Source organism: Homo sapiens, chromosome 9 (assembly GCF_000001405.40).
Source record: "Homo sapiens chromosome 9, GRCh38.p14 Primary Assembly".
Lineage (NCBI taxonomy): Eukaryota > Metazoa > Chordata > Mammalia > Primates > Hominidae > Homo > Homo sapiens.
This window is the reverse complement of record NC_000009.12, coordinates 64,007,430-64,032,581: the sequence shown is the minus strand read 5'-3', so window position 1 is coordinate 64,032,581 and position 25,152 is coordinate 64,007,430. Positions and strand designations below refer to the sequence as shown.

Sequence of the window (25,152 nt, the reverse complement as noted above, 5' to 3'; positions counted from 1 at the left end):
AATATATGTTCAAACTAAAACTTACATACGAGTGTTCATAGCAGCCTGACTCATGATGGTGAATACACAAAAACAACACAAATGTCCATCAACTAATGAATGGATAAACATAAACTATTACTCAGCTATAAAAGGAAAGAAATACTGATACACACTATAACATGAAAGAAATTTGAAAACATTGTGCTAAGAGAAAAAAAAAAGCAAACTACAAAAGATCACACATTGTACAATTCTATTTCTATAAAAGGTCCAGATTAGGCAAAACTACAAGGACAGAAAATAAATCAGTGGTTGCCTATGAACATGGGGGAATTAGGAGGTAGCGGCTAAGAGGTGAGGGTTTCTCACTCACAGGTGGGTAACTCATAAGTGGGTAATCACTTCTAAGAGAGACTGTGGTGATGGATGCACAGCTCCTTGAATATTCTAAAAACCACTCAATTGTATACTTTCTTTTTTTCTTTAGTTATTTACAGACAGGGTCTCCTTCTGTCGTCCATGCTGTAGTGCAGTGGTGCCATCTGGTCTCACTGCAACCTATGCCTTCTAGGCTCAAGTGATCTTCCAGTCTCATGTCCCTAAGTAGTTGGGACTACAGGCATGAGCCACCACACCCAGCTAATTTTTGTATTTTTGCTAGAGATGCTGCTTTGTCATGTTGCCCAGGCTAGTCGCAAACTCCCGAACTCAAGCGATCCACCTGCCTCAGCCACCCAAAGTCTTAGCATTATAGGACTTAGCCACTGCACCCGGCCAGAATTGCATACTTTGATAAATGAATTGCATGATATGTTAATCATATTTCAATAACATTATTATTTTAAAAAGGGCTGGGTGTGGCGTGGTGACTCACGCCTGTAATCTCAGCACATTGGGAGGCCAAGGCGGGTGGATTGCCTGATTTCAGGAGTTCGAGGCCAGTCTGGCCAACATACTGAAACCCTGTCTCTACTAAAAGTACAAAAATATTAGCTGACAGTGGTGACATGTGCCTGTAATGCCAGCTAGTTGGGAGGCTGAGGCAGGGGAATTGTTTGAACCAGGGAGGTGGAGGTTGCAGGCAGCCGAGATCACGCCACTGCACTCCAGCCTGCGTGACAGAGTGAGAGTCCGTCTCAAAAAGAAAGAAAAAGAAAATGGGCATTGAACACAGGTGGCTCCCACCTATGTATAATCCAAGCACTTTGGGAAGGTGAGGCAGAATGATCACTTGAGGCCAGGAGTCTGACACCATCGTGGGCAACGCAGCAAGATCCCATCTGTACAATAAAAAATAAAGAAGTTAGCTGGGAATAGGGGCAAATGTATGTAGTCCCAGCTACTTGGGAGGCTGAGGTGGGAGGACAGTTGGAGTCCGGGGTTTCGGGCTGCAGTGAACCATGATCATGCCACCGCACTGCAGCCTGGGTGACAGAACAAGACCCTGTTTCTAGGAAGAAAAAAAAAAAGAAATCCAAGTTTTTATCACCTTCTGAGAGTAATCAATGTTCAGGAGGAACAGAGAACAAAAGACCACTGAATGGTTGAGGGTGGGTTGCTGGTTAGGTTCAGTGGCCAGTTGACTAGTATCTGAAAAATTTATTAGTAAAATTATGGCACTAGGGGTGAGTCATGCAGTCGAATGATGAATACTAAATCCAGTACAAACGCCCATGGTCTTTCTTTACATGAATTCCAGTGAAAAATTTCTAAGTGCCTAAAATAGCAAGTGGTCTGAAATGATGGCAGCAGTTTATTAAAGACTGAAAAAAGAGGCCGGGTGCGGTGGCTCATGCCTGTAATCCCAGCACTGCAGGAGTCCAGGGCCGGTGGATTGCAAGGTCAGGAGTTCAAGACCAGCCTGGCCAACATGCTGAAACCCCATATCTACCAAAAATACAAAACTTAGCCGGGCATGGTGGCATGTGCCTGTAGTCCCAGCTACTTCAGAGGCTGAGGCAAGAGAAATGCTTGAACCCAGGAGGCAGAAGTTGCTGTGAATTGAGATTGTGCCACTGCACTCCAGCCTGGTGACAGAGGAAGATGCCATCTCAAAAAAAAAAAAAAAAAAAGAAATGGCATCTTCAACAACCACAAGAGAGTTCCATGCTGAAGAAGCTCTAATTCTGCATTTGCTCAACTATTGATTTGAGTTAGCCAATATGACACTATCTTAGATAAAGTGTACAAACAACTCAATTTCATCTCCTCATTAATAACTGATTAGGTAGTCTAATATCAATTCTGATTTTTAAAAAGCTAATTAGAAAAAGAATTAATTATAGAACCAATAAGAGGTTTGAATAGTTACAAGCTATTCAAAGGAGGATTCAAAAAACCACTCAGGTATGAAGCCATAAAGTATGATGAAATAAATTTCATTAATATATTTTAAAATAAACTGATTAGACAGGCAACAACACCTGGGCACGGGTCTCCTCACCTCCAGCAACACAAACTCAATCGCGCAGCTATGGGGTTGCAAAGGCTGCATAGTCACAAACAGACTGCTCTGAGTTGAGATTTCTTTACTTGTATCTGTATTCTGAGACAGGGTCTCACTCTGTCACTCTGGCTGCAATGCAGTGGTGCACTCACAGCTAACTGCAGCCTTGACCTCCTGGGCTCCGGGGATCCTCCTGCCTCAGCCTCACCATAGCTATGACTACAGATGACCACCAAAACACCCAGCTAATTTTTATTTATTTATTTATTTATTTGTAGAAAGAGGAGCCTTGCTATGTTGCCCAACCTGGCCTCAAACTCCCACCCTCAAGAGATCTGCCCACCTCAACAACCTGAGTAACTGGTTGTACAGAAAAATACCACTATGCTTGGATAATTATATTTTATTAATTTTTATTTGCATAGAGAGGAGGTCTTGCTCTGCTGCACAGGGTGGTCTCAAACTCCTCGACTCAAATAATTCTCCCATTGCTGCCTCCCAAAGTGCTGATGCTACAGGCATAAGCCACTGCACCTGGCCCGACTTAAAATTTCTTTAATCTAGCATCCCATACTTCCTATAATTGGGAAAAGCCATAGGGTTTTTTTTTTAATTACTTACTATTTCAACAAGAATCAACCATCTCTCACCATTGCCAGGACCCTGGTCAGAACCACTATCATCTCCCACCTGGAGGTTGCCACAGCATGGCCTCCCTGCTTCTACCCAAATCTTCCCACAATCTTTCTCAACTCAGCCACCATGGGATGCTTTTAAATCAGTAGACAATTTGTGTCACCTCTCTGCTCAGAACCCTTCCGCATCTCCCATCTCAGACAGAATAAAAGCCAAAGCCCCAGCAATAGCCTCCCAGGGCTTACACAATCTGTACTGATCTGAGCCCAACAACTCCCTGGCCTTCTTCCCTACTTCTCTCCCTCTCTCTGCTCCACAGGCCTCTTTCCTGAGCTTCAGACACACCACGGAGTTCCCTCTTCGCATCTTTATTATGTTGTTTCTGTCTACAATGCTCTTCCCTCAGTACCTTGGCCAGCTCCTTCCCCTCCTTCAAGTCTTTGCTCAATTTTCACTTAGGAGGCCAACCCTGACCACTCTATTTAATATTGCTATCTGTTCCTATTCCTGCCATGCTCACTCATTTCTTTTTTCTTTTTTTTTTAAGATAAAAATCTCGCTGTGTCACTAAGACTGGGGTGCCATGGCACGATCACAACGCACTGAGACCTGGAACTCCTAGGTCAAGAAATCGTCCTGCCTCAGGGCCTCTAGTAGCTAAGACTACAAGTGCATGCCACCATACCCACTAATTTTTTTTCCATGTAGACAGGGTATCACTTTGTTGCCCAGGCTTATCTTGAACCCCTGGGCCAAAGCAACCATCCTGCTTCAGCCTCCTAAATAGCTGGAATTATAGGTGTGGGCCACCACCCCTGGCTTCATGTTCATTTCTTCTTGCTGCTGTTACAAACTACCCTACATTGAGTGGCTTAATACACCACAAATCTACTACCTAACAGGTCTGGGGGCCAGAAGTCCAAAATAGGTCTATTAAGGCTAAAGTCAAGGTGTCAGCAGGACTGCATCCCTTCTGGAGGTTCTGGAGCGAATGTTTTCCCTTGCCTTTCCCAGTTGCTAAAGCCACCCGTATTCTTTGGCTCATGGCCCCTAACTGCATCTTCAAAGTCAGAAGCAAAGCATATTCGAATCTCCCTCTGTGACCTGTGCTTCCATCATCAAATCTCCTTCAATTCTGACTCTCTTATCTCCCTCTTTCACTTATAAAGACCTCTTGTGATTGCTGGACACAGAGGCCGTGGCTCACAACCACAATCCCAACAATTTAGGAGGTCAAAGCAGGAGAAACGCTTGAGGCCAAAAGTTCGGGACCAGCCTGGGAAACACAGTGAGACCCCCTCAATTAAACAACAAAAAGAAATAAGAAAAAATTAGCTGGGCATGGTGGTATGCATCTGTAGTTTCAGCTACTTGAGAGGCTGCGGTGAAAGAATCGCTTTAGCCCCAGAGTTCAAGACCAGCCTCAGCAATATAACAAGATCCCATCTCTACAAAAAAAAAAAAACACAAAAATTAGCTGGGCATGGATGGTGTGCACCTGTAGTCCCAGATGCTTGGAAGGCGGAGGCGGGGGAATTGCTTGAGCCCAGGTGGTTGAGGCTGCAGTTAGCTAAAACTCCATCATTGCACTCCAGATTCGGTGAAACAGAGAATCTGTGTTCAAAAGAAAAGGAAAAGAAATACACATTTGGTTTCTGCCCCTCATCCTGGCAAAGAGCTTCTCAAGTTCTTATAAAGGCCTTGGTGATGAAGGTGATGGGGCATCTTCTGTTTCAATATTTGGTCTTAGTACCAGGTTTCTAACATAAGAGCCTCTAAGACCTTTGGGATCACCATAGTAAGAATGCATTTGGTGATGTTATTGAGATGACTGGGTGACTGAAAGCTCCTAGACAGCTTCAGAAAAAGGGCTGGTTGTTGCCAGAAGAACAAACCATGTGATTAGAGGATTGGAACTGTCAGCCTCACCCACTGGGCTCCAGGAAGAAACAGTGGCCGAAGACTGACTTAATCACCAGTGGTCAATGACTTCATCAATCATGCCTGCATAATGAAGCTTTCATAAGCGCCCTCAACAACGGGAGTTGGAGAATGTCTGGGTTGCTGAACACAAGGGAGATACCAGGAAAGTAACATGCACAATAGAGGACACGGAAGTTCTGTACCCCTCCCGACATACCTTGCCCTGTGTGTGTGTCTTTTTTTTTTTTTTTTTTTTTTTTTGAGACAGTGTCTGGCTCTGTCTCCCAGCCTAGAGTGCCATGGCACAATCGTGGCTCACTGCGACCTATGCCTCCCTAGCTCAAGCCCCATCCTCTCATCCTCTCACCTCGGCCTCCTGAGTAGCTAGAATTATAGGCACTGAGTAGCTAGAACTATAGATAACTGCACCTGGCTAATTTTTAGAAAAATCTTTTTGTAGAGATGCGTTTTCACCATGTTACCCAGGCTGGTCTTAATCTCCTGAGCACTTAAGTGATGCTCCCACTTCAGTCTCCCAAAGTGCTGAAATTACAGGCATGAGCCACTGTGCCCAGCATGTACATCTCTTTCACTGGCTGTTTCTGAGATATAGCCTTTAAAATGAACCAATAAAAGAAAGTAAATTGGTGAGATGAAGTGGCCCACGTCCATAATCCCAGCATTTTGTGAAGTTGAGGTGGGAGTATCATGTGAGCCCAGAAATTTGAGACCAGCCTGGGCAACATAACATCTCTACAAAAAGTAAAAGAACACAGCCAGATATGCTGGTGCGGGCCTATAATCTCAGCTATTTGGGAGGCTGAGGTGGGAGGATCACTTGAGCCCAGGAGTCCCATGCTACAGTGAGCTTTGATCACACCACTGCATTCCAGCCTGGCAACAGACTGAGACCCTGTATCTCAGAAAAAATAAGAAAACAATCTGTTTTTCTGAGTTCTGCAAGCTGTCCGAGCAAATGATTCCACCCACCAATGGGGTCATGAAACCCTATTTTCTAACTTGTTGGTCAAAACTACATGTAACAACCCAAGACTTGCAATTGGCATGTGGAGTGAGGGTAGACTCCTGGGACTGAGCCTCCATCCTGCGGGGTCTGCACTAACTCCAGGGAGTGTCAGGATGGAATTGTGGGATACCCAGTTGGGATCCAGATTGTCCGAAAATCAGTGTAGAAACTCCACACGCACATTTGGTTAGAGGTGTTTGACCGTGACTATTATTCACGAAAAAGATCTACTCATTAGAACTAAAAATCACAAAATTGTACGTTCTACAAAAACAAATCAACCTTATCTACCACCCAGTCCTACCAATCTACAGAATGTGAGAACAGAAGTTCTGACCGTGGACTCGAGAGCTGGCAGGAATGTCACCACCATCCTGCTCTCCAAGGACTCATCATCTTCAACAGACTCCTCATCTTCAATGGGCAGGGTGGAAACTGCAACTTGTGCCATGATCCTTGCACAAGAAAAGTAGTAAGAAAGTGAGTGGTAGAAATCCAGTGTCCTAAACTCACATCCAGAGCTGTGAGAGTTTTTCACCGGCTGGATAATTCACAGTTTTCTTGAATCAGGGGAAAAATAAGACTCAGAAACTAGGAATTCGTTTTGCCCAAAACTCTCATCAGATAGAGAATCCATCCGCTAACTATCTAGTATTATTTCCATAAGTTAGATCAATTATCACTCCCAAAACAAACGCACATGGCACGCAGAATCTGTGCATTTCTCCCAAGTAAAAGAGGAGGTGGACAGGCACAGTGTCTCATGCCTGTAACCCCAGCACTTTGGGAGGCCAAGGTGGGTGGATCACCTGAAGTCAGGAGTTCAAGACCAGCCTGGCCAACATGGTGATACCCTGTCTCTACTAAAAATAAAAAAAGTTAGCCAGGTGTGATGGCATGTGCCTGTAGTCCCAGCTTCTTGGGAGGCTGAGGCAGAAGAATCACTTGAACCCAGGAGGCTAAGGTTGCGTGAGCAGAGATCACACCACTGCACCTGAGCCTGGGCAACAGAGTGAGACTCTGTCTCAAAAAAAAATAGGGGGAGGAAAGGAGGCAAGGCACTTTACAACCCAGTGATGGGCTACCACAACTCAACACAGCAAAGAGGTGCCAAGCTCCCTTTCTCCCCTGCACAACCCGACACAGAAGAGTTGGTGCAGTGGAATGAGGCTGGATGGAGAGAAGTTCCTCTTCTTTCTTTCCTTTTTTTTTTTTTGAGATGGATTCTCACTCTGTCACACAGGCTGGGGTGCAGTGGCACAATCTCGGTCACTGTAACCTCTGCTTCATGGGTTCAACCAATTCTCTGCCTCAGCCTTCAGAATTCCTGGGATTAGAGGCGCCCCCCCCCCCAACACACCCAGCTAATTTTTTTTTTTTTTAGTGGAGACTGGGTTTCACTATGTTGGCAGGCTGGTCTTGAACTCCTGACCTTGTGATCCACCTGCCTCAGCCTACCAAAGTGCTGGGATTACAGGCATGAACCGCTGTGCCCAGCCGAGAAGTTCCTCTTCTTACTTAGAAAACAGATCACAGGGCATCAAGTAACACGTAAAATTCTTTATAATAAGTAGTATTATTTTTGGAAAACCTTTCCTAATATTTCGGTATCAGCAAAAAGCCTCAGATTAATTTCAAACCCTATAAAAATACAATACATAAACAGAAAATATTAACTGTCAGCAATGCTATAGAGAAATTGGAAGCTGTATGCATTGCTTTTTGGAATGTAAAACGGTACAGCCCACTGTGGAAAACGGTTTAGAAGCTCCTTAAAAATATTAAGCACAGATTTATATGATCCATCAACACCCTTTAAGCGTATATACCCAAAAGAACTGAGAGCAGGGACTCAAACAGGTATTTGTACACCCATTTAACAGCAGCATTATTCACAGTGGCCAAAATGTAGCCCAAACCTAATGCCCATCAATAGGTGAATAGATAAAGAAAATGTAATATATACATACACAGAGTATTATTCAGCCATAAAAAGAAAAATATCTGGCCAGATTCAGGGGCTTACACCTCTAATCCCAGTATTTTGGGAGGCCAAGGTGGGCAGGTCTCTTGAGCCCCATATTTTGAGACCAGGCTGGACAACATGGCACATTTGGTTAGAAGTGTTTGACCATAACTACTATTCAAGAAAAAGATCTACTCGTTAGAACTACAAATCATAAAATTATAAGTTCTACAAAAACAAGTCAACCTTATCTACCACCCAGTCCTACCCAATTATATAATGTTAGAACACAAGATCTCACTGTGGACTCGAGAGCTGATATGAGCAATGTCACCACCATCCTGCTCTCCGCAGAATCATCTTCAATGACTCCTCATCTTCCATGGACTCCTCATCTTCAATGGGCAGGGTGGAAACTGCAACTTGTGCCATGATCCCTGTGCAAAAAAGTAGTAAGAAATTGAATGGTAGAAATCCAGTGTCCTAAACTCACATCCAGAGCTGTGAGAGTTTCTCACCGGCTGCCAAATTGTTTTCTGAATCAGAGAAAAAAATAAAACTTGGTAACTTGGTATTTGATTTGCCCAAAACTCTCATCAGATAGAGAATCCATCCACTAACTTTCTATCTAGTATTATTTCCATGAAGTTACATCAACATCACTCCCAAAATAAATCCAGGTGGAAGACTAAATCCAAAGCTAGCAGAAGGAAAGAAATAATAAAGAGTATAATTAGAGCATAAATCAATAAAATAGAAGGTTGGAGAGCAGTAGAATGAAAAAACATAGATTCTTTGAAAGATCAAGCATTTCACTATATTGACTGAGCAAAAGATGGAAGACTAATTACTAAAATAATACATGAAAGCAGAGCCATTACTACCAACTTTACAGAAATACAAAAGGTTTACAGGAGTACACTGTGAACAACTGTCTAGCAACAAATTAGGTGCCCTGGATGAAATGGATGAATCGCTAGAAAGACAAAAACTACCAAAGTGGCTCATGAAGAAAGAGAAAATCTGAATAGACCTATAACCTAGGAGATTGAATTAGTAATCGAAAGCGATTAACAAAGAAACATTTATGACCAAATAGCTGCATTAACTGGTGAGTCAACCTAACATTTAAAGAAGAATTAATACCATTTATTCTCAAACTCTTCTGACAAAATATATGAAGAAGGAATACTTACTAATTCATTTTTTGATAACAGCATTATCCTTATACCAAAGACAAAGAAAGCACAAAAGAGAGAAATACAGCACTATATCCCTTATGAATATATAAGCAAAAATCTCAGCAAAATACTAACAATCCTAGCAAAATACTAGCAGCAATACTGTATAATCAAAGGATTGTAAACTATCACCCTTTGAGATTTATCCCCAAAATGCAAGGGTGGCTCAACATATAAAAAATCAATCAGTGTAATATACTCTAACAATAAAATGAATAAGGATGTGATTATTTCAATTGATGCAGAGAAAACATTGATGAAATACAACACCCTTCTGTAATAAATATACTCAATAAACTAGGTATAGAAGGGATCTTCTGCAACATGACAATGGGATGTACAAAAACCCAACACTTAATATCATGATCAATGATGAAGCACTGAAAGCTGTTTTCCTAACATCTAGAACAAGATGAGGATGGTGCATTTGCCACTTGTGTTCAATGTAGCACTGGCAGTTCTAGCCAGAGCAATTAGGCAAGACAAAGAAATAAAAGGCATCTACATTAGAAATAAAAAATAGGTAAAATTATATCTACACATGATCTTATGGGTATAAAGCTCCAAACAAAACACAAAACCGATTATAACTAATAAAAGAGGCAGGATGCAAACAAACATAAGGCAAATGGGCTATATTTCTATATAGTTGTAAAGAACTATGAAAACATTTTAAAAATTCCATTTATAATAACATCAAAGAATACGTTATTCGGGCATAAATCTAACCATGGTGGTATACACAAAACTTTGCTGAAAAAAACTAAAGAGAGTGGAAATAAGTGGAAAGACATTCTGTGTTCACAGGTTGTAAGACAATATTGTTAAGATGACAATACCATCTAAAATAATCTACAGATTCAATGCAATACCATCAAAATCCCAAAAGCATTTTTGCAGAAACAAAGAAACTCATTCTAAAGTCATACAAAAATTCAAAGGATCTGACAGACAAAACAGTCTTGAAAAAGAACATTGGAAAACTCACATTTTTCAGTTTCACAGCCTACTACAAATCTACAGTAATCAAGAGAGTGTGGTACTGGCATAAGACCAATAGACTTTCAGACCAATACAATAGAACAGATTTGAGATCCTACAAGTTAGTCCTCACATATATGCTCAATGACTGTTCAACAAGGTGGCCAAGTCAAGGGAGGAAAGAACATTCTCTTCAACAGCTGGATGTCAGTGCACAAGAGAGAAGTTAGACCCCTACCTTGCAGTATATACAAAAATTAATTCTAAATTAATAAAAGACTTAAATGTAAGGACTAAAAATATGTAACTCTTAGAAGAAAACACACGGTAAACCTTTATGACCTTTGAGTTTTAAGTGTATTTTGAAATATGACAGAAAAGCACAGATAACAAAAGAAAATACATGAAAATTAGATTTAATCAAAATAAAAACCCTTTATGCATCAAAGGATACTATCAAGGGAGTGAAAAGACAACCCATAATATGTGAGAAAATATGTGTCTGATAAAATCAAAGTGTGTATCTGATAAAAGTTTAATATCCCACAACTCAACAACAGAATTTCTAAGATCCCAATTAAAAAATAGGCAAAGGACATGAATAGACATTTCTGCAAAGAAGATACACAAATGTCTAAGAAGGACAAGAAAAGATGCTAAACACCGTTATTCATTAATAAAATGTAAGACAAAACCCAAATGAGATGCCACTTTGCATCCACTAGTAAGGCTTGCATAACAACGACACAGAAAATCAATGTTGCTAAAGAGGTGGAGAAACTGGAGCCCTCATGAACTGGCTGCTAGAAATAGAAAATGATGCAGTTGCTGGGGAACAATTTGGTGGTTCCTTAAAGAATCACACAGAGAAACAGGTGCCGCTGGCTTGCGGGTTCTCCTGGGCTGGCGCGGGACGTCCCGGAATCGCAGGCGCGCATCCCTTCCCGCCTGAGGGCCCGCCTGGCCGTGACTCCCACCCCTCTTCTCCTCCAAAGAGAGATCGGGGCCGCTCCAGGGGCCCTCTGCAGCCACCGGGGATGGGGCTGAGGGTCGGTTCCCGCCCCCGTGCAGCTGCTGCAGGACAGACCACCTGGCTTGGCCACAACCACAGGGACATTTGGCCCTGCTTCCGAGATGTGCGGAGTGCGGGCGGGCTCGGGAGTTGCCTGGAGGCTGCTGCCTGCATGCAGAAGGCGGCTGCAACTCGGGTGCCCAGGCGGGCTGGAGGGGCATGGCCTGGTCGGCCTCGAGATCGCCAGCATGCCCAGGCTGAGGGCCCCCAGGCCGTGCCTCCTGCCCACTCCTCCACTTTAGGGAGATCGGAGCCGTTTGTATGGGCACTCGGCAGTCACCCCATGTGGGGTTGAGCGGTGGGTTCTCAGTTCTCGCTCCTGTGCAGCTTCTGCTGCAGGGCAGAATGCCTGGCTTGGCCGCAGCCACTGGGACACCTGGCCCTGGTTCTGCGATGGTGGGAGCGCGAGCGGGCTCGGGGGTTGCCAGGCAGCTGCTGCCTGCACACAGAGGGCGACTGAAGCTTGGGCGCCCAGGCGGCAGAGCATGGTCTGGGTGGCCTCTGGAATGCGTGTGCGCCAGACCTGAGGGTCACCCTGGTGGAGCCACCTACCTTGGTCTTCCGCTGCTGGAGCCTGGAGCAGCTGGAATGGCCACTATTCAGTCACAGGGGATAGAGTTAAGTTTTCTTATCCCACGCATACACACAAAAAGGTAACTATTCTGTGAGGTAATAAACATGTTAATTCACTTCATTCATGCCACTCTGCACCCACAAGTAAGGCTTTCATAACAATGACACAGAAAACAAATGTTGCTAAGGAGGTGGAGAAGTTGGAGCCCTCATGAACTGGCTGCTAGGAATAGAAAATGATGCCCTTGCTGAGGAAAACAATTTGATTGTTCCTCACAGAATGAGCATTGGGTGAAAAATGAAATCAAGATGGAAATGTAAAAAATTTCTTCAAACTGGATGACACAACCTATCAAGACCTCTAGGATACAGCAAAGGCACTGCTAAGAGCAAAGTTTGTAGTCCTAAAAACCTACGTCAAAAAGTCTGAAACAGCACAAAGAGACAATCTAAGTTCACATCTCAAGGAACTAGAGAAGCAGGAACAAGACAAACCCAATCCCAGCAAACACAGGAAATAACCAAGATCAGAGCAGAACTAAATGAAATTGACACAACAACAACAAAAAAATACAAAACATAAATAAAACAAAAAGTTGGTTATTTGAAAAGATAAATAAAATTGATAGACCATTAGCAAGATTAACCAAGAAAAGAAGAGAGAAAATCCAAATAACCTCACTAAGAAATAAAACAGGGGATATTACAACTGACACCACTAAAATATTAAAGATTATTCAAGGATACTATGAACACCTTTTGGCACATAAACTACAAAACCTAGACGAGTTGGATAAATTCCTGGAAAAATACAACTCTCCTAGCTTAAATCAGGAAGAATTAGATACCCCAAGCAGACCAATAAAGCAAGCAGCAAGACTGAAATGGTAATTTTAAAATTACCAGCAAAAAAAGCCGAGGGCCAGACAGATTCACAGCAGAATTCTACCAGACATTCAAAGAATGTCTTCTTTCATTCAAAGAAGAAATGATACCAATCTTTTCATACTATTCCACAAGACAGAGAAAGAAGAAACCCTCCGTTATTCATTCTATGAAGCCAGCATCACCCTAATACCAAAACCATGAAAGGACATAACCAAAAAAGAAAACCACAGACCAATATCCTTGATGAACGCAGATGCCAAAATCCTTAACAAAATACTATCTAACTGAATCCGACAACATATCAAAAAATAATCCACCATGATCAAGTGGGTTTCATACCAATGATATAGGAGTGGTTTCACATATGCAAGTCAATAAATGTGATACATCAAATAAACAGAATTAAAAAATCTAATATGATTATATCAACAGGTGCAGAAAAAACATTTGACAAAATCTAGCATTGCTTTATGATTAAAGCTCTCGGCAAAATAGGCATAAAAGTGACATACCTTAATGTAATAAAAGCCATCTATGACAAACCCACAGCCAACATAATACTGAATGGGGAAATGGTGAAAGCATTCCCTTTGAGAACTGGAACAAGACGAGGAACCTACTCTCACCACTCCTCTTCAACATAGTACTGGAAGTCCTAGCCAGAGTAATCAGACAAAAGAAGGAAATAGAGGAAATCCAAATCGGTAAAGAGGAAGTCAAATTGTCACTTGTTGCTGATGATATGATCTTTTGCCTAGAAAATCCTATGGACTCCTCTAGAAAGCTCCTAGAACTGATAAAAGAATTCAGCAAAGTTTCCAGATACAAGATTAATGGACACAAATCAGTAGCTCTTCTATACATCAACAGCTACCAAACAGAGAATCACATCAAGAACTCAACCCCTTTTACAATAGCTGTGAAAAACAACAACAAAAAACAAAACTTAGGAATATACCTAGCAAAGGAATCAAAAGACCTGTACAATGAAAATTACAAAACACTGCTGAAAGAAATCATAGATGGAGCCAAGCACGGTGGCACATGCCTATAATCCGAGCTACTCGGGAAGCTGAGGCAGGAGAATCGCTTGAACTCGGGAGGCAGAAGTTGTAGTGAGCTGAGATCACACCATTGCACTCCCACCTCAGCGACAAGAGCGAAACTCCCTCTGAAAAAAAAAAAAGAAAGAAAAGAAGTCATAGATGACACAAACAAATGGAAACGCATCCCCATGCTCATGGATGGGTAAAACCAATATTGTGAAAATTACCATTCTGTTAAAGGCAATCTACAAATTCAATGCAATCCCCATCTGAATGCCACCATCATTCTTCACAGAATTACAAAAACAATTCTAAAATTAATATGGAACCAAAAGAGAGCCATATAGCCAAACAAAGCCTAAGCAAAAAGAACTTGGAGGTATCACACTACTTTATTTCAAACTGTACAATAAGGCCATAGTTACCAAAACACCAACGTACTGGTTTAAAAATAGGAACATAGACCAATGGAACAGAAGAGAGAACCCAGAAATTAACCCAAATACTTACAGCCAACTGATCTTCGACAAAGTAAACAAAAACATAAAGTGGGGAAAGGACCCCCTTTTCAATACATGATGTTGGGATAATTGGTCAGCCACGTGTAGGGGAATAAAACTGGATTCGCATCTCTCATCTTATACAAAAATCTACTCAAGATGGATTAAGAACTTAAATCTAATTCCTGAAGTATAAAAATTCTAGAAGATAACACTGGATAAACCCTTCTAGACATTGACATATGCAAGGATTTCATGACCAAGAACCCAAATGCAAATGCAATAAAAACAAAGATAAATAGCTGGGACTTAATTAAACTAAACAGCTTTTGCATGGCAAAGGGAACAGTCAGCAGAGTAAACAGACAACTCACAGAGTAGGACTCCTGAACCTGACCCTGACCCCAGACCCCAACCCCTGACCCTGACCCCTAACCCCTGACCCTAACCCTTAACCGTAACCCCTAAGCCTAACCCCTAACCACAACCCTCACCCTCACACTAATGCAACCCTAACCCCTTATCCCTAACCCCTAACTTCTCTTAACCCCTAACTCTAAACGTTGACTCTTAACTCCTAACTCTGACCCCAACCCCTATCTCCAACCCCTAACCCTAAACTTAACCCCTAACCCCTAACCCTAACACCAACCTTAACCCTAGGTTCATTACTACGTTTGTATTGACTATGTCAATGTTGATTATTATGATCTCTGTCTTAGGACTGCATGGCAGCAAGGGGATTGCGGATCTTATATTAATATTTTTGTATTGAGGCAATGCATTAGCATTACAGGTGCTTGTTACATGAGCAATGGGGGTGTCATATTTTGGGTGTCATCTCTGCATTAGGAGTGCTGCATTTGTCTTCCAAGGCTGCGGTGTGGATCTCGCACTGCGGCCGCCTCGCCTTGGCTGGGGAGAACCTCGGTGGGCAGGATTCAGAGTGGCTTTTGGTTTCCCGTTTTCCACACTGAACCCTTCTAACTGGTCTCTGACCCTGATTATTCAGGGCTGCAAACGGGAAGGATTTTATTCACCGTCTATGCGGCCCCGAGTTGTCCCAAAGCGAGGCACTGCCCCCAAGGTCTGTTGTGAGGAGAACGCTACTCTGCCTTCGCGGTGTCCCCGGGGTCTGTGCTGAGCAGAACGCAGCTCCGCCCTCGCGGTGCCCCCGGCCCGCCTGGGTCTGTGCTGAGGAGAACACTGCTCCGCCTTCGCTGTATCTCCGAAGTCTGTGCAGAGGAGAACTCAGCTCAGACCTGGCGATGCTCTCCTGGCGATGTCTGTGCTGGTAAGAATGCAGCTCCGCCCTCGCAAGGGCTCACAGCGCCGGCGCAGGCGCAGAGAGGCCCACAGCGCCGGCGCAGGCGCAGAGAGGCCCACAGCGCCGGCGCAGGCGCAGAGAGGCCCACAGCGCCGGCGCAGGCGCAGAGAGGCCCACAGCGCCGGCGCAGGCGCAGAGAGGCCCACAGCGCCGGCGCAGGCGCAGAGAGGCCCACAGCGCCGGCGCAGGCGCAGAGCGGCCCAGAGCGCCGGCGCAGGCGCAGAGCGGCCCACAGCGCCGGCGCAGGCGCAGAGCGGCCCACAGCGCCGGCGCAGGCGCAGAGCGGCCCACAGCGCCGGCGCAGGCGCAGAGCGGCCCACAGCGCCGGCGCAGGCGCAGAGCGGCCCACAGCGCCGGCGCAGGCGCAGAGCGGCCCACAGCGCCGGCGCAGGCGCAGAGAGGCCCACAGCGCCGGCGCAGGCGCAGAGAGGCAGAAGGCCCATGAGGGGAAGGTGAGACACCTGGGGCAAAGAAAAAAAAAAATGCGCCGCGAAGCAGTGTCTGGGTCATCCACGGACGAAAGTTTTTTTCCCATCAGCCCTTGCGCTGGGCCCCAGGGACCCTGGCATCCCTGGTTCGCGCCCATGGTGCGCCTCGGGCGACTAGGGGTACCCCAACTCGGACAGAAGCCCCATGAGTGGAAGTTGAAGTTTGTGGGAAGAGAGGTGAGGCACCATGGGCAGAAAAAAAAAAAAAGAGGACCGCGCTTCAGAGAAGCGGGGCCTGGGTCCACCACGGATGAAAGTGCCTTCCCATCAGGCCCTATGCTGTGCCCGGTGGACCCTGGCGACCCTGGTTTGAGCCCAGGGTGCGCCTCGGGACCGCTTGGGGTACCACAAAGCGAACAAAAGGTCCATGAGGGGAAGGTGAGGCACCTGAGGCAGAGAAAAAAAAACGCGCCACCGAGAAGCAGTGCCTGGGTCCCCCACGGATGAAAGTGCCATCCCATCAGCCCCTTCGCTGGGCCCTGGGGACCCTGGCGTCCCTGGTTTGACCCCAGGGTACGCCTCGGGCCAGTATGGGTACCCCAAGGTGGGCAGAAAGCCCCTAAGGGGAAGGTGAGGCACCTGGGGCAGAGAAAAAAAAAAAAACTTCGCCACAGAGAAGCACGGCCTGGGTGCCCCACGGACGAAAGTGTGTTCCCATCAGTCCCTGCACTGGGACCAGGGACCCTGGTGTCCCTGGTTCGAGCTCAGGGTGTGCTTTGGCCGCTAATTGCACCCCAAGGGGGGCTTTGGGCGCACAAAGCCCATGAGGGGAAGGTGAAATTTGAGGGAGGAGAGGTGAGGCAACTGTCATAGAAAAAGAAAAAAAAAACCCGCGCCGTGGAGAGGTGGGGCCTGGGTCCCCCACGGATGAAAGTGCCTTCCCATCAGCCCCTGCGCTGGGCCCCGGGGAACCTGGGGTCCCTGGTTCGAGCTCAGGGAGAGCCTCGGGCCACTAGGGGTACCCCAACGCGGTGGAAAGCCCATGACAGGAAAGTGAGCTGTGAGGGAGGAGAGGTGAGGCACTTGTGGCAGAAAAGAAAAAAAAACCTCGCCACGGAGAAGGGAGGCCTGGGTTCCCCATGGAAGAAAGTGTCTTCCCATCAGACCCTGCGCTGGGCCCCAGGGACCCTGGCATCCCTGGTTTGAGCCCAGGGTGCGCCTCGGGCCGCTGGGGTTACCCAAAGGTGGACAGAAAGCCCATGAGGGGAAGGTGAGGCACCTGTGGCAGGAAAAAAAAAACGCGCCGCAGTGAAGCGGGGCCTGGGTCCCCCACTGAGGAAAGTGCCTTCCCATCAGGGCTTGCGCTGGACCTCGTGGACACTGCGACCCTGGTTCGAGACCAGGGTGCGAATAGGGCCCGCTAGGGGTGCCCCAAAGCGGGCAAAAGGCCTATTAGAGGAAGGTGAGGCACCCGGGCAGAGAAAAAAAACCGCGCCACTGAGAAACGGGGCCTGGGTCCTCCACGAACGAAAGTGTCTTCCCATCAGCGCCTGTGCTGGGCCGCACGGACCCTGGCGTCCCTGGTTCAGCCACAGGGTGTGCCTTGGGCCGCTAGCGGTACCTCTAGGCGGGCAGAGGGCCCATGAGGGGAAGGTGAGGTTTGAGGGAGGAGAGGTGAGGCACCTGCGGCAGAAAAAAAAAAAAGCTCACCTCGGAGAAGCGGGCCCTGGGTCCCCCACGGACAAAAGTCCCTTCCCATCAGCGCTGCGCTGGGCCCCGGGGACACTAGCATCCCTGACTCGAAACCAGGGTGAGCCTCGGGCCCGCTAGGGGTACCCAAAGGAGGTCAGAAAGCCCATGAAGGGAAGGTGAGGCACCTGGGGAAGAGAAAAAAAAAAACCCTGCAGAGGAGCAGAGCTTGGGTCCCCCACAGACGAAAGTGTCTTCCCATCAGCCCCTGAGCTGGGCCCTGTGGAACCTGGCATCCCTGGTTAGAGCCCAGGGTGCGCCTCAGCTTGCTAGGGGTACCCCAAGGCGGGCAGAAGGCCCATGACGGGAAGGTGAGACACCTGGGGCAGAGAAAAAAATTAAAAACCGCTCCGCCTAGAAGCGGGGCCTGGGTCCCCCACGGAAGAAAGTGCCTTCCGATGAGCCCCTGTGCTGGGCCCTGGGGACACTGGCGTCCCTGGTGTGAACACAGGGTGCACCTCGGGACTGCTAGGGTATCCCAACGTAGGCAGAAGGCCCCTGAGGAGAAGGTGAGGCACCTGGGGCAGAGAAAAAAAACCGCGCCGCCGAGAAGCGGGCCCTGGGTCCCCCACGGATGAAAGTGTCTTCCCATCAGCCCCTGCACTGGGCCCCAGGGACCCTGGCGTCCCTGGTTCGAGCCCAGCGTGTGCCTGGGGCCGCTAGGGGTGCCCCAAAGCGGGCAGAAGTCCCATGAGGGGAAGGTGACCCACCTGGGGCAGAGAAAAAAAAAAAACACGCCTCAGAGAAACGGGGCCTGGGTCCCCCACGGAAGAAAGTGTCTCCCCATCAGCCCTTGCGCTGAGCCCCGGGGACCCTGGCATCCCTGGTTCGAGCCCAGGGTATGCCTCGGGCCGCTAGGGGTACCCCAAGGTGGACAGAAGGCCCATGAGGGGAAGGTGAGGCACCTGGGGCAGAGAAAAAAAAAAACTGCGCCGCCAAGAAGTGAGGACTGGGTCCCGACGGACGAAAGTGTATTCCCATGAACCCTTGCGCTGAGCCCCAGGGACTCTGGCACCCTTGGTTCGAGTCCAGTGTGTGCCTAGGGCGGCTAGGGGTACCCCAAGTCGGACAGAAGGCCCATGAGGGGAAGTGAGGTTTCAGGAAGTAGAGGTGAGGCACCTGTGGCAGGTGTCCATCTGTAAACTGTTTATCCATGTGAGCCCTGATGTCCACCAGGGGCTGGATGTCCCCCTGGGGCTAGATGTTCGCCTGGAGCCTGGTGCCCACCTGGGGCCTGATATCCAGGAGAGGCTTAGTTATCCACCTATGGCCATCTGGAGCCAGATGCCCACCTGAGGTCTGGTGTACACCTAAGGCCTGATATCTACCTGGGGCTTGGGTGTTCATGTGGGGCCTGATGTCTACCTAAGACCATGTGTTCACCTGGAGCCTGGGTGACCATCTGGGTTATGATGTTCAGCTGGGGCCCAGAGTTCAGCTGGGGACTGGGTCAACCTTCTGCTTGTTGCATACCTGGGGACTAGGTACCCACCTGGGCTCCGGTGTTCACTGGAGCCTGATGTCTACCTGGGGCCTTGTATTTACCTAGGACCAATGCATCCACCTGGGGTCTGAGTGCCCTCATGGAGCCTGGAGTTTTCCTGGGGCCTGGGGTCTGCCTTAGGCTTAAGTGTACATCTGTGGCCTCATGTCCACCTTGGGATGGATGTCCACCTGGGGATGGATATTCAGTAGGGATCTGAGTGTCCACTTGGTTTGTGATGTCTACCTGGGGCCTGGTGTTCATCTGAGGTTTGATTTCCACCTGGGACCTGGACATTTGCCTGAAACCTGATGTACAGCTGGTGCCTGAAGTTCATCTATGCCTGGTGTCCCCCTGGGGCCAGGTAGTCAACACGGGGTCTGAAGACCTTCTAGAGTTCAGTGTTCACCTGGGGTCCGAAGTCCACATAGGGCTTGGGTGTCCAAATAGGGCCTGGTGTCAGCTTGAGATTTGTGTATTTACCTAGGGCCTGGTTGTCCACTTGGGGCTTGATTTTTTACTTGGTTTTTGTGTTAATTTGGGGTCTAGTGTCCACCTGGGGCCTAGGTATCCACCTAGGGACTATTGTCCAGCTGGAGACTAATGACTACCTATGGCCTGGTAATCACCTAAGGCTTTGTTTCACTTAGGTCCTTGGTGCCAAACTGTTGCCTGCTGTTCACCTGGGGTATGGTGTCCTCCTGGGGTCTGGATGTCAGCCTGGGGCTTGTTGTATACCTGTATCTTAGATATCCAGATAGGGGTCTATTTTCTGCTTAGGTGCAGCAGTCCATCTGGTGCTTGAGTGTCAACCTAAGGCCTGATGTCTATGTTGGACCTTGGGTTCACCTGAGGCCTGATATCCACCTGGGGCCTCAATGTCCAAATGGGGCCTGATGCCCATCTGGGCCCTTGGTGTCCACCTGCAGCATGGATGTCCACCTGGAGCCGAGGAATCCACCCAGGGACTGGTGTTGAACTGGGGCCTGATGACCACGCGGGGACAAGGTACACATCAGGCTTGATGTCCACCTGTCACCAGATGTCCACCTGAGTCCTGATGTCCATCTTGATCCTGGGTGTCCACATTAGGCCTGATGTCCAGCTGGGGCCTGGGTACCCACTGGGGGCTTCCTGTTAACCTGGGGACTGGTGTCATTCTGGGTCCTAATGACCCCCTGGGTTGTATTATTCACCTAGGGTCTGGTGTCCACTTGGGGCTTGAGTGTAACCTTGGACCTGGCACCCACACAGGACTTGGGTATCAAACTGGCCCCTTGGTGTCCAGTTAAGACATCATGTGAATGTGGCGCCTGAGTGTCCACATGGGGCCAAGTGACTACTGGGGGCCTGAATGTCAACCTAGAATCTGAGGTTTACTAGATTACTTAGTTCCGGAACCTCTGAGGATACCAAAATCTATTAATGTTCAAGTCCCTTACATAAAATAGTGTAGTATGTGCCTATAACTTATGTACATCCTCCCATATACTTTAAATCATCTGTAGATTACTTATAATACCTAATACAATGTAAGTGCTGTGTAAGTAGTTATTATACTGCATTGATAAGGTAATCATGACAAGAAACTCTAAACTCTACTATGGAAAGCTACACAGAGTCAACCTGTTTCTAACAATGGGTTTCTGTTACCTTCTTACCAAGCTCTAATTCTTGATAAAGTCTGCTTATTTTCCCCAAATGACTTTTAGATAAAATCTTTATTTTCAGTTTGCATAAAAGTTAGTGCTTATTCTGTGAATCTGACCCATACCATTATTTTCTTTTTGATCTGGGTCTCTGGCATTGGGGCGATTTGTAAAACTATATTAAAGTATTTGGGGGTGATTTACTAAACAGGTCATAGTTGTCCAAAAGAAATATTGAAGTATCCTGAGAGTTCAAATGTGATCAGTGGTTATTGTACTTAAAACAATTACATAATAACATCATCCCCATGTTTTCAAAGTAGTATTGAATTAGGCTATTTGGGTCCTTATAGTAGGCATGGGTTTTCATACCTTTCTGATAAATCTGACTGATGATAGGACTTGGACTAATATGTTGGCATTAAATATTATTTGAATCTGGTAAGAAAGAAAAATATATTGTATGCTTTTATTAGAAATAGCAAATATCAGTTTATTTCATCATAGCCAGTTTTGCCATTTTATAGACAAAAACTTGATACTTTTGAGAGTTTAATTAAACACGATTCAGCTTTTCAGAGGAAGAAAGAAAAACTAAAGATCACAGAGAAAGCTTTTATACAAATTGTAGTTATAAAAAATGTTAATGTTTCTTGCTTCTAACTTTCTTTACAATAAAGATTTTATTGTTTGGGTAAAGATAGAACATTCATTGTAAAAAAATTTAAATACCTAAAAAATACAAAGAAGAAAGTTGAAAAGTTATCATCTCACTATTGTGATATACAAGTAGGGGCTGGGCATGGTGGCTCATGCCTGTAATCCCAGCACTTTGGGAGGCTGAGGCAGGTGGATCCCTTGAGGCCAGGAGTTCAAAACCAGCCTAGCCAACATGGTGAAATCCAGTCTCTACTGAAAATTCAAAAACTAGCCAGGCGTTGTGGCGCACCCCATAATCCCAGCTACTCAGGAGGCTAAGGCATGAGAATCGCTTGAAAGCTGGGAGGCGGAGGTTGCGGTGAGCCGAGATCACACCACTGCACTCCAGCCCAGGCAACAGAGCAAGACTGTATACACACACACACGCACATGCACACGCACACACACACACGCACACACACAAGTAGGTAAATTTTATTCCAGGGATCTCTCTATGCCAGTGCTACTTGGTAGTATGTTGAATGGCAGCCTCAGCCTCAGCTGGGAGCTTGTTAGAAATGCAAATTCTTGACCAACCCAGATCTACTGAATCAGAATCTCTAAGGGAGGGGGTCAAGCAAGCTGTTTTTAATAAGCCCTTCAGGTGATTCTTATACTGTACAGCCATACCGCAGGGATATTGTGGGCTTAGTTCCATATCACTGCAGTAAACTGAATATCACAATAGAGTGAGTCACACACATTTTTTTGTTTCCCATTGCATATAAAAGTTATGCGTTTTGGCCGGGTGTGATGTGACAGGCCTGTAGTCCCAGCTACTTGGGAGGATCACTTGAGCTCAGGAGTTTGAGGCTGCAGTGAGTCATGATTGCACTCCAGCCTGGATGACAGCATGAGACCCCATTTCTTAAAAAAAAAAAAAAAAAAAAAAAAGCTGTGTTTATACTATACTGTAGTCTATAAAATGTGTAATAGAATTGTCTAAAAAACATACATACCTTAATTAAAATTATTTATTGCTAAAAATGCTAACGATCATCTCAGCTTTCAGCAAGTCGTAATCTTTTTGCTGGTAGAGGGTCTTGCCACAATGTTGATGGGTGCTGACCAATCAGGGTAGTAGTTACTGAAGGTTGGGGTGGCTATCGCAATTTCATAAGATAATAATGAAGTTTGCTGCATTAGTTGACTCTCCCTTTCATAAAAGATGTCTCTATAGCACATGATGCTATTTGATAGCATTTTACTCACAGTATGACTTCTTTCAAAATTGGAGTCAGTCCTCTCAAACCCTGCTTTATCAATTAAGCTTCTGTCATATTTTAAATCCTTTGTTGTCATTTTGACAGTGTTCATAGCATCTTCACCAGGAGTAGATTCCATCTCAAGAAACCACGTTCTTTTCCCGTCCATAAGAAACAACTTCTCATTAGTTAAAGTTTTCTTATGAGATTGCAGGAATTGAGTCACATCTTCAGACTCCCCTTCTAATTCTAGTTCTCTTACTGTTTCCACCATATCTGCAGTTATTTCCTCCATTGAAGTCTGAAATCCCTCAAAGTCATCTGTGAGGGCTGGAATCATCTTTCAAACTCCTATTCATGTTGATACTTTGATCTCCCATGAATCACGAATGTTCTTAATGACATCTAGAATGATGAATTTACTTTGCCTAGATCCATCAGAGGAATCACTATCTATGGTAGCTATAGCCTTATGAAATATATTTCTTAAATAAGACTTAAAAGTCAAAGTTACTCCTTGATCAGTGGGCTGCAGAATGGATGTTGTGTTAGCAGGCATGAAAACAACATTAATCTCCTTGTACATCTCCATCACAGCTCTTGGGTGATCAGGTGCGTTGTCAATGAGCAATAATATTTTGAAGGAATCTTTTTTTTTCTAAGCAGTAGATCTCAATGGTGGGCTTAAAATAAACCATGCTGTAAACAGATGTGCTGTCATCTAGGCTTTATTATTTATAGAAAACAGGCAGAGGAGATTTAGCATAATTCTTAATGGCCCTAGAATTTTCAGGATGGTAAATGATTATTGGCTTCAACTTGAAGTCACCAGCTGCTTTAGCCTCTAACAAGAGAGTCAGCCTGTCCTTTGAATCTTTGAAGCCAGGCATTGACTTCTCTATAGCTATGAAAGTCCTAAATGGCATCTTCTTCCAAAAGGAGGCCATTTCATCTCCATTAGAAATCTGTTGCTGGCCGGGCTCGGTGGCTCATGCCTGTAATTTCAGCACTTTGGGAGGCCGAGATGGGCAGATCACGAGTTCAGGAGTTCAAGACCAGCCTGGCCAACATAGTGAAACCCCATCTCGACTAAAAATACCAAAAATTAGCCTGGCTTTGTGGTGGGAGCCTGTAATCCCAGTTACTTGGGAGGCTGAGGCAGGAGAATGGCTTGAACCTGGGAGGCGGAGGTGGCAGTGAGCTGAGATTGCACATTGCACTCCAGCCTGGGTGACAGAGCGAGACTCCATCTCAAAATAAATAAATAAATAAATAAATAAATAAATAAATAAATAAATAAAAAATAAGTCTGTTGCTTAGTGTAGCTACTTTCATGAATGATGTTAGCTACATCTTCTAGGTAGTTTACTACAGCTTCTATATCAGCATTTGCTGCTTTCCCTTGCACTTTTATGTTATGGAGATGGATTCTTTCTTTAAATCTTGTGAACCAACCTCTGCTACCTTCCAACTTTTCTTCTCTAGCTTCCTCACCTCTCTCAGCCTTCATAGAACTGAAGAGAGTTAGGGTTGCTCTGAATTAGGCTTTGGCTTAAGGGAACATTGTGGCTTGTTTGATCATCTATCCAGATCACTTCGTATCAGCAATAAGGCTGTTTTATTATCATTTGTGTGTTTACTGGAGTAGCACTTTTAATTTCCTTCAAGAACTTTTCCTTTGCATTCACAACTTAGCTAACTGGCTCAAGAGACCTAGCTTTTGGCGTATCTTGGCTTTCAACATAACTTCCTCACTAAGCATAATCATTTCTAGCTCTTGATTTAAAGTGAGAAACAGGTGACTGTTCCTTTCACTTGAACACTTAGAGGCCATTGTAGGATATTAATTGGCCTAGTTTCATGTTGATCATATTCTTTATGTTGTCATGGTTCTGTCGTAATTCTTTTAGTTCTATGTTTTAATAGTTTTGGTGCTCATTACCAGTACTGTTGCTTCTCCATTCCCGAGTTAGTCCATCTCCTGATTGAATTTCATTGTCAGGCAGTCTTTTCAAGATACAGGTACTGCATGCATTCTTTGGGTTCTTATACACTTCATTGATTCAAAATATTTGTCTTTTGTTTTTATATTACTTGAAGGATTACTTGGCTAGGTATAAAATTTATCAGTCACACTTTTTTCCCCCTCAACTTTGTAAATGTTGTTCCATAATCTCCTAGTGTTTGATTGGCTGGATTTCTTTGTCCAATGTTTTCTCCTTTTATTAGGAAGAATTTGTGAGTATTATAGTCTCTGAGTTTCAATGCTTGCTGTTTTCTTTAATGCTTGAGAATGTCTGTCTATTGCTTTCATTCCTGAAAAATAACTTG

The 25,152-nt window shown here is 45.5% G+C and overlaps 1 pseudogene across 1 annotated transcript in view; it reads right to left on the bottom strand.

The window, feature by feature from the left end:
• Positions 1 to 15,632, bottom strand: part of FLJ43315 (asparagine synthetase pseudogene) — a 44,663-nt pseudogene extending 29,031 nt beyond the window's left edge. The window contains 5 exon segments of the transcript NR_033856.1: positions 1,168 to 1,262; positions 4,563 to 4,678; positions 6,352 to 6,469; positions 8,282 to 8,417; positions 15,322 to 15,632. The product of NR_033856.1 is annotated as an asparagine synthetase pseudogene (transcript).
• Positions 15,633 to 25,152: the final 9,520 nt, after the last annotated feature.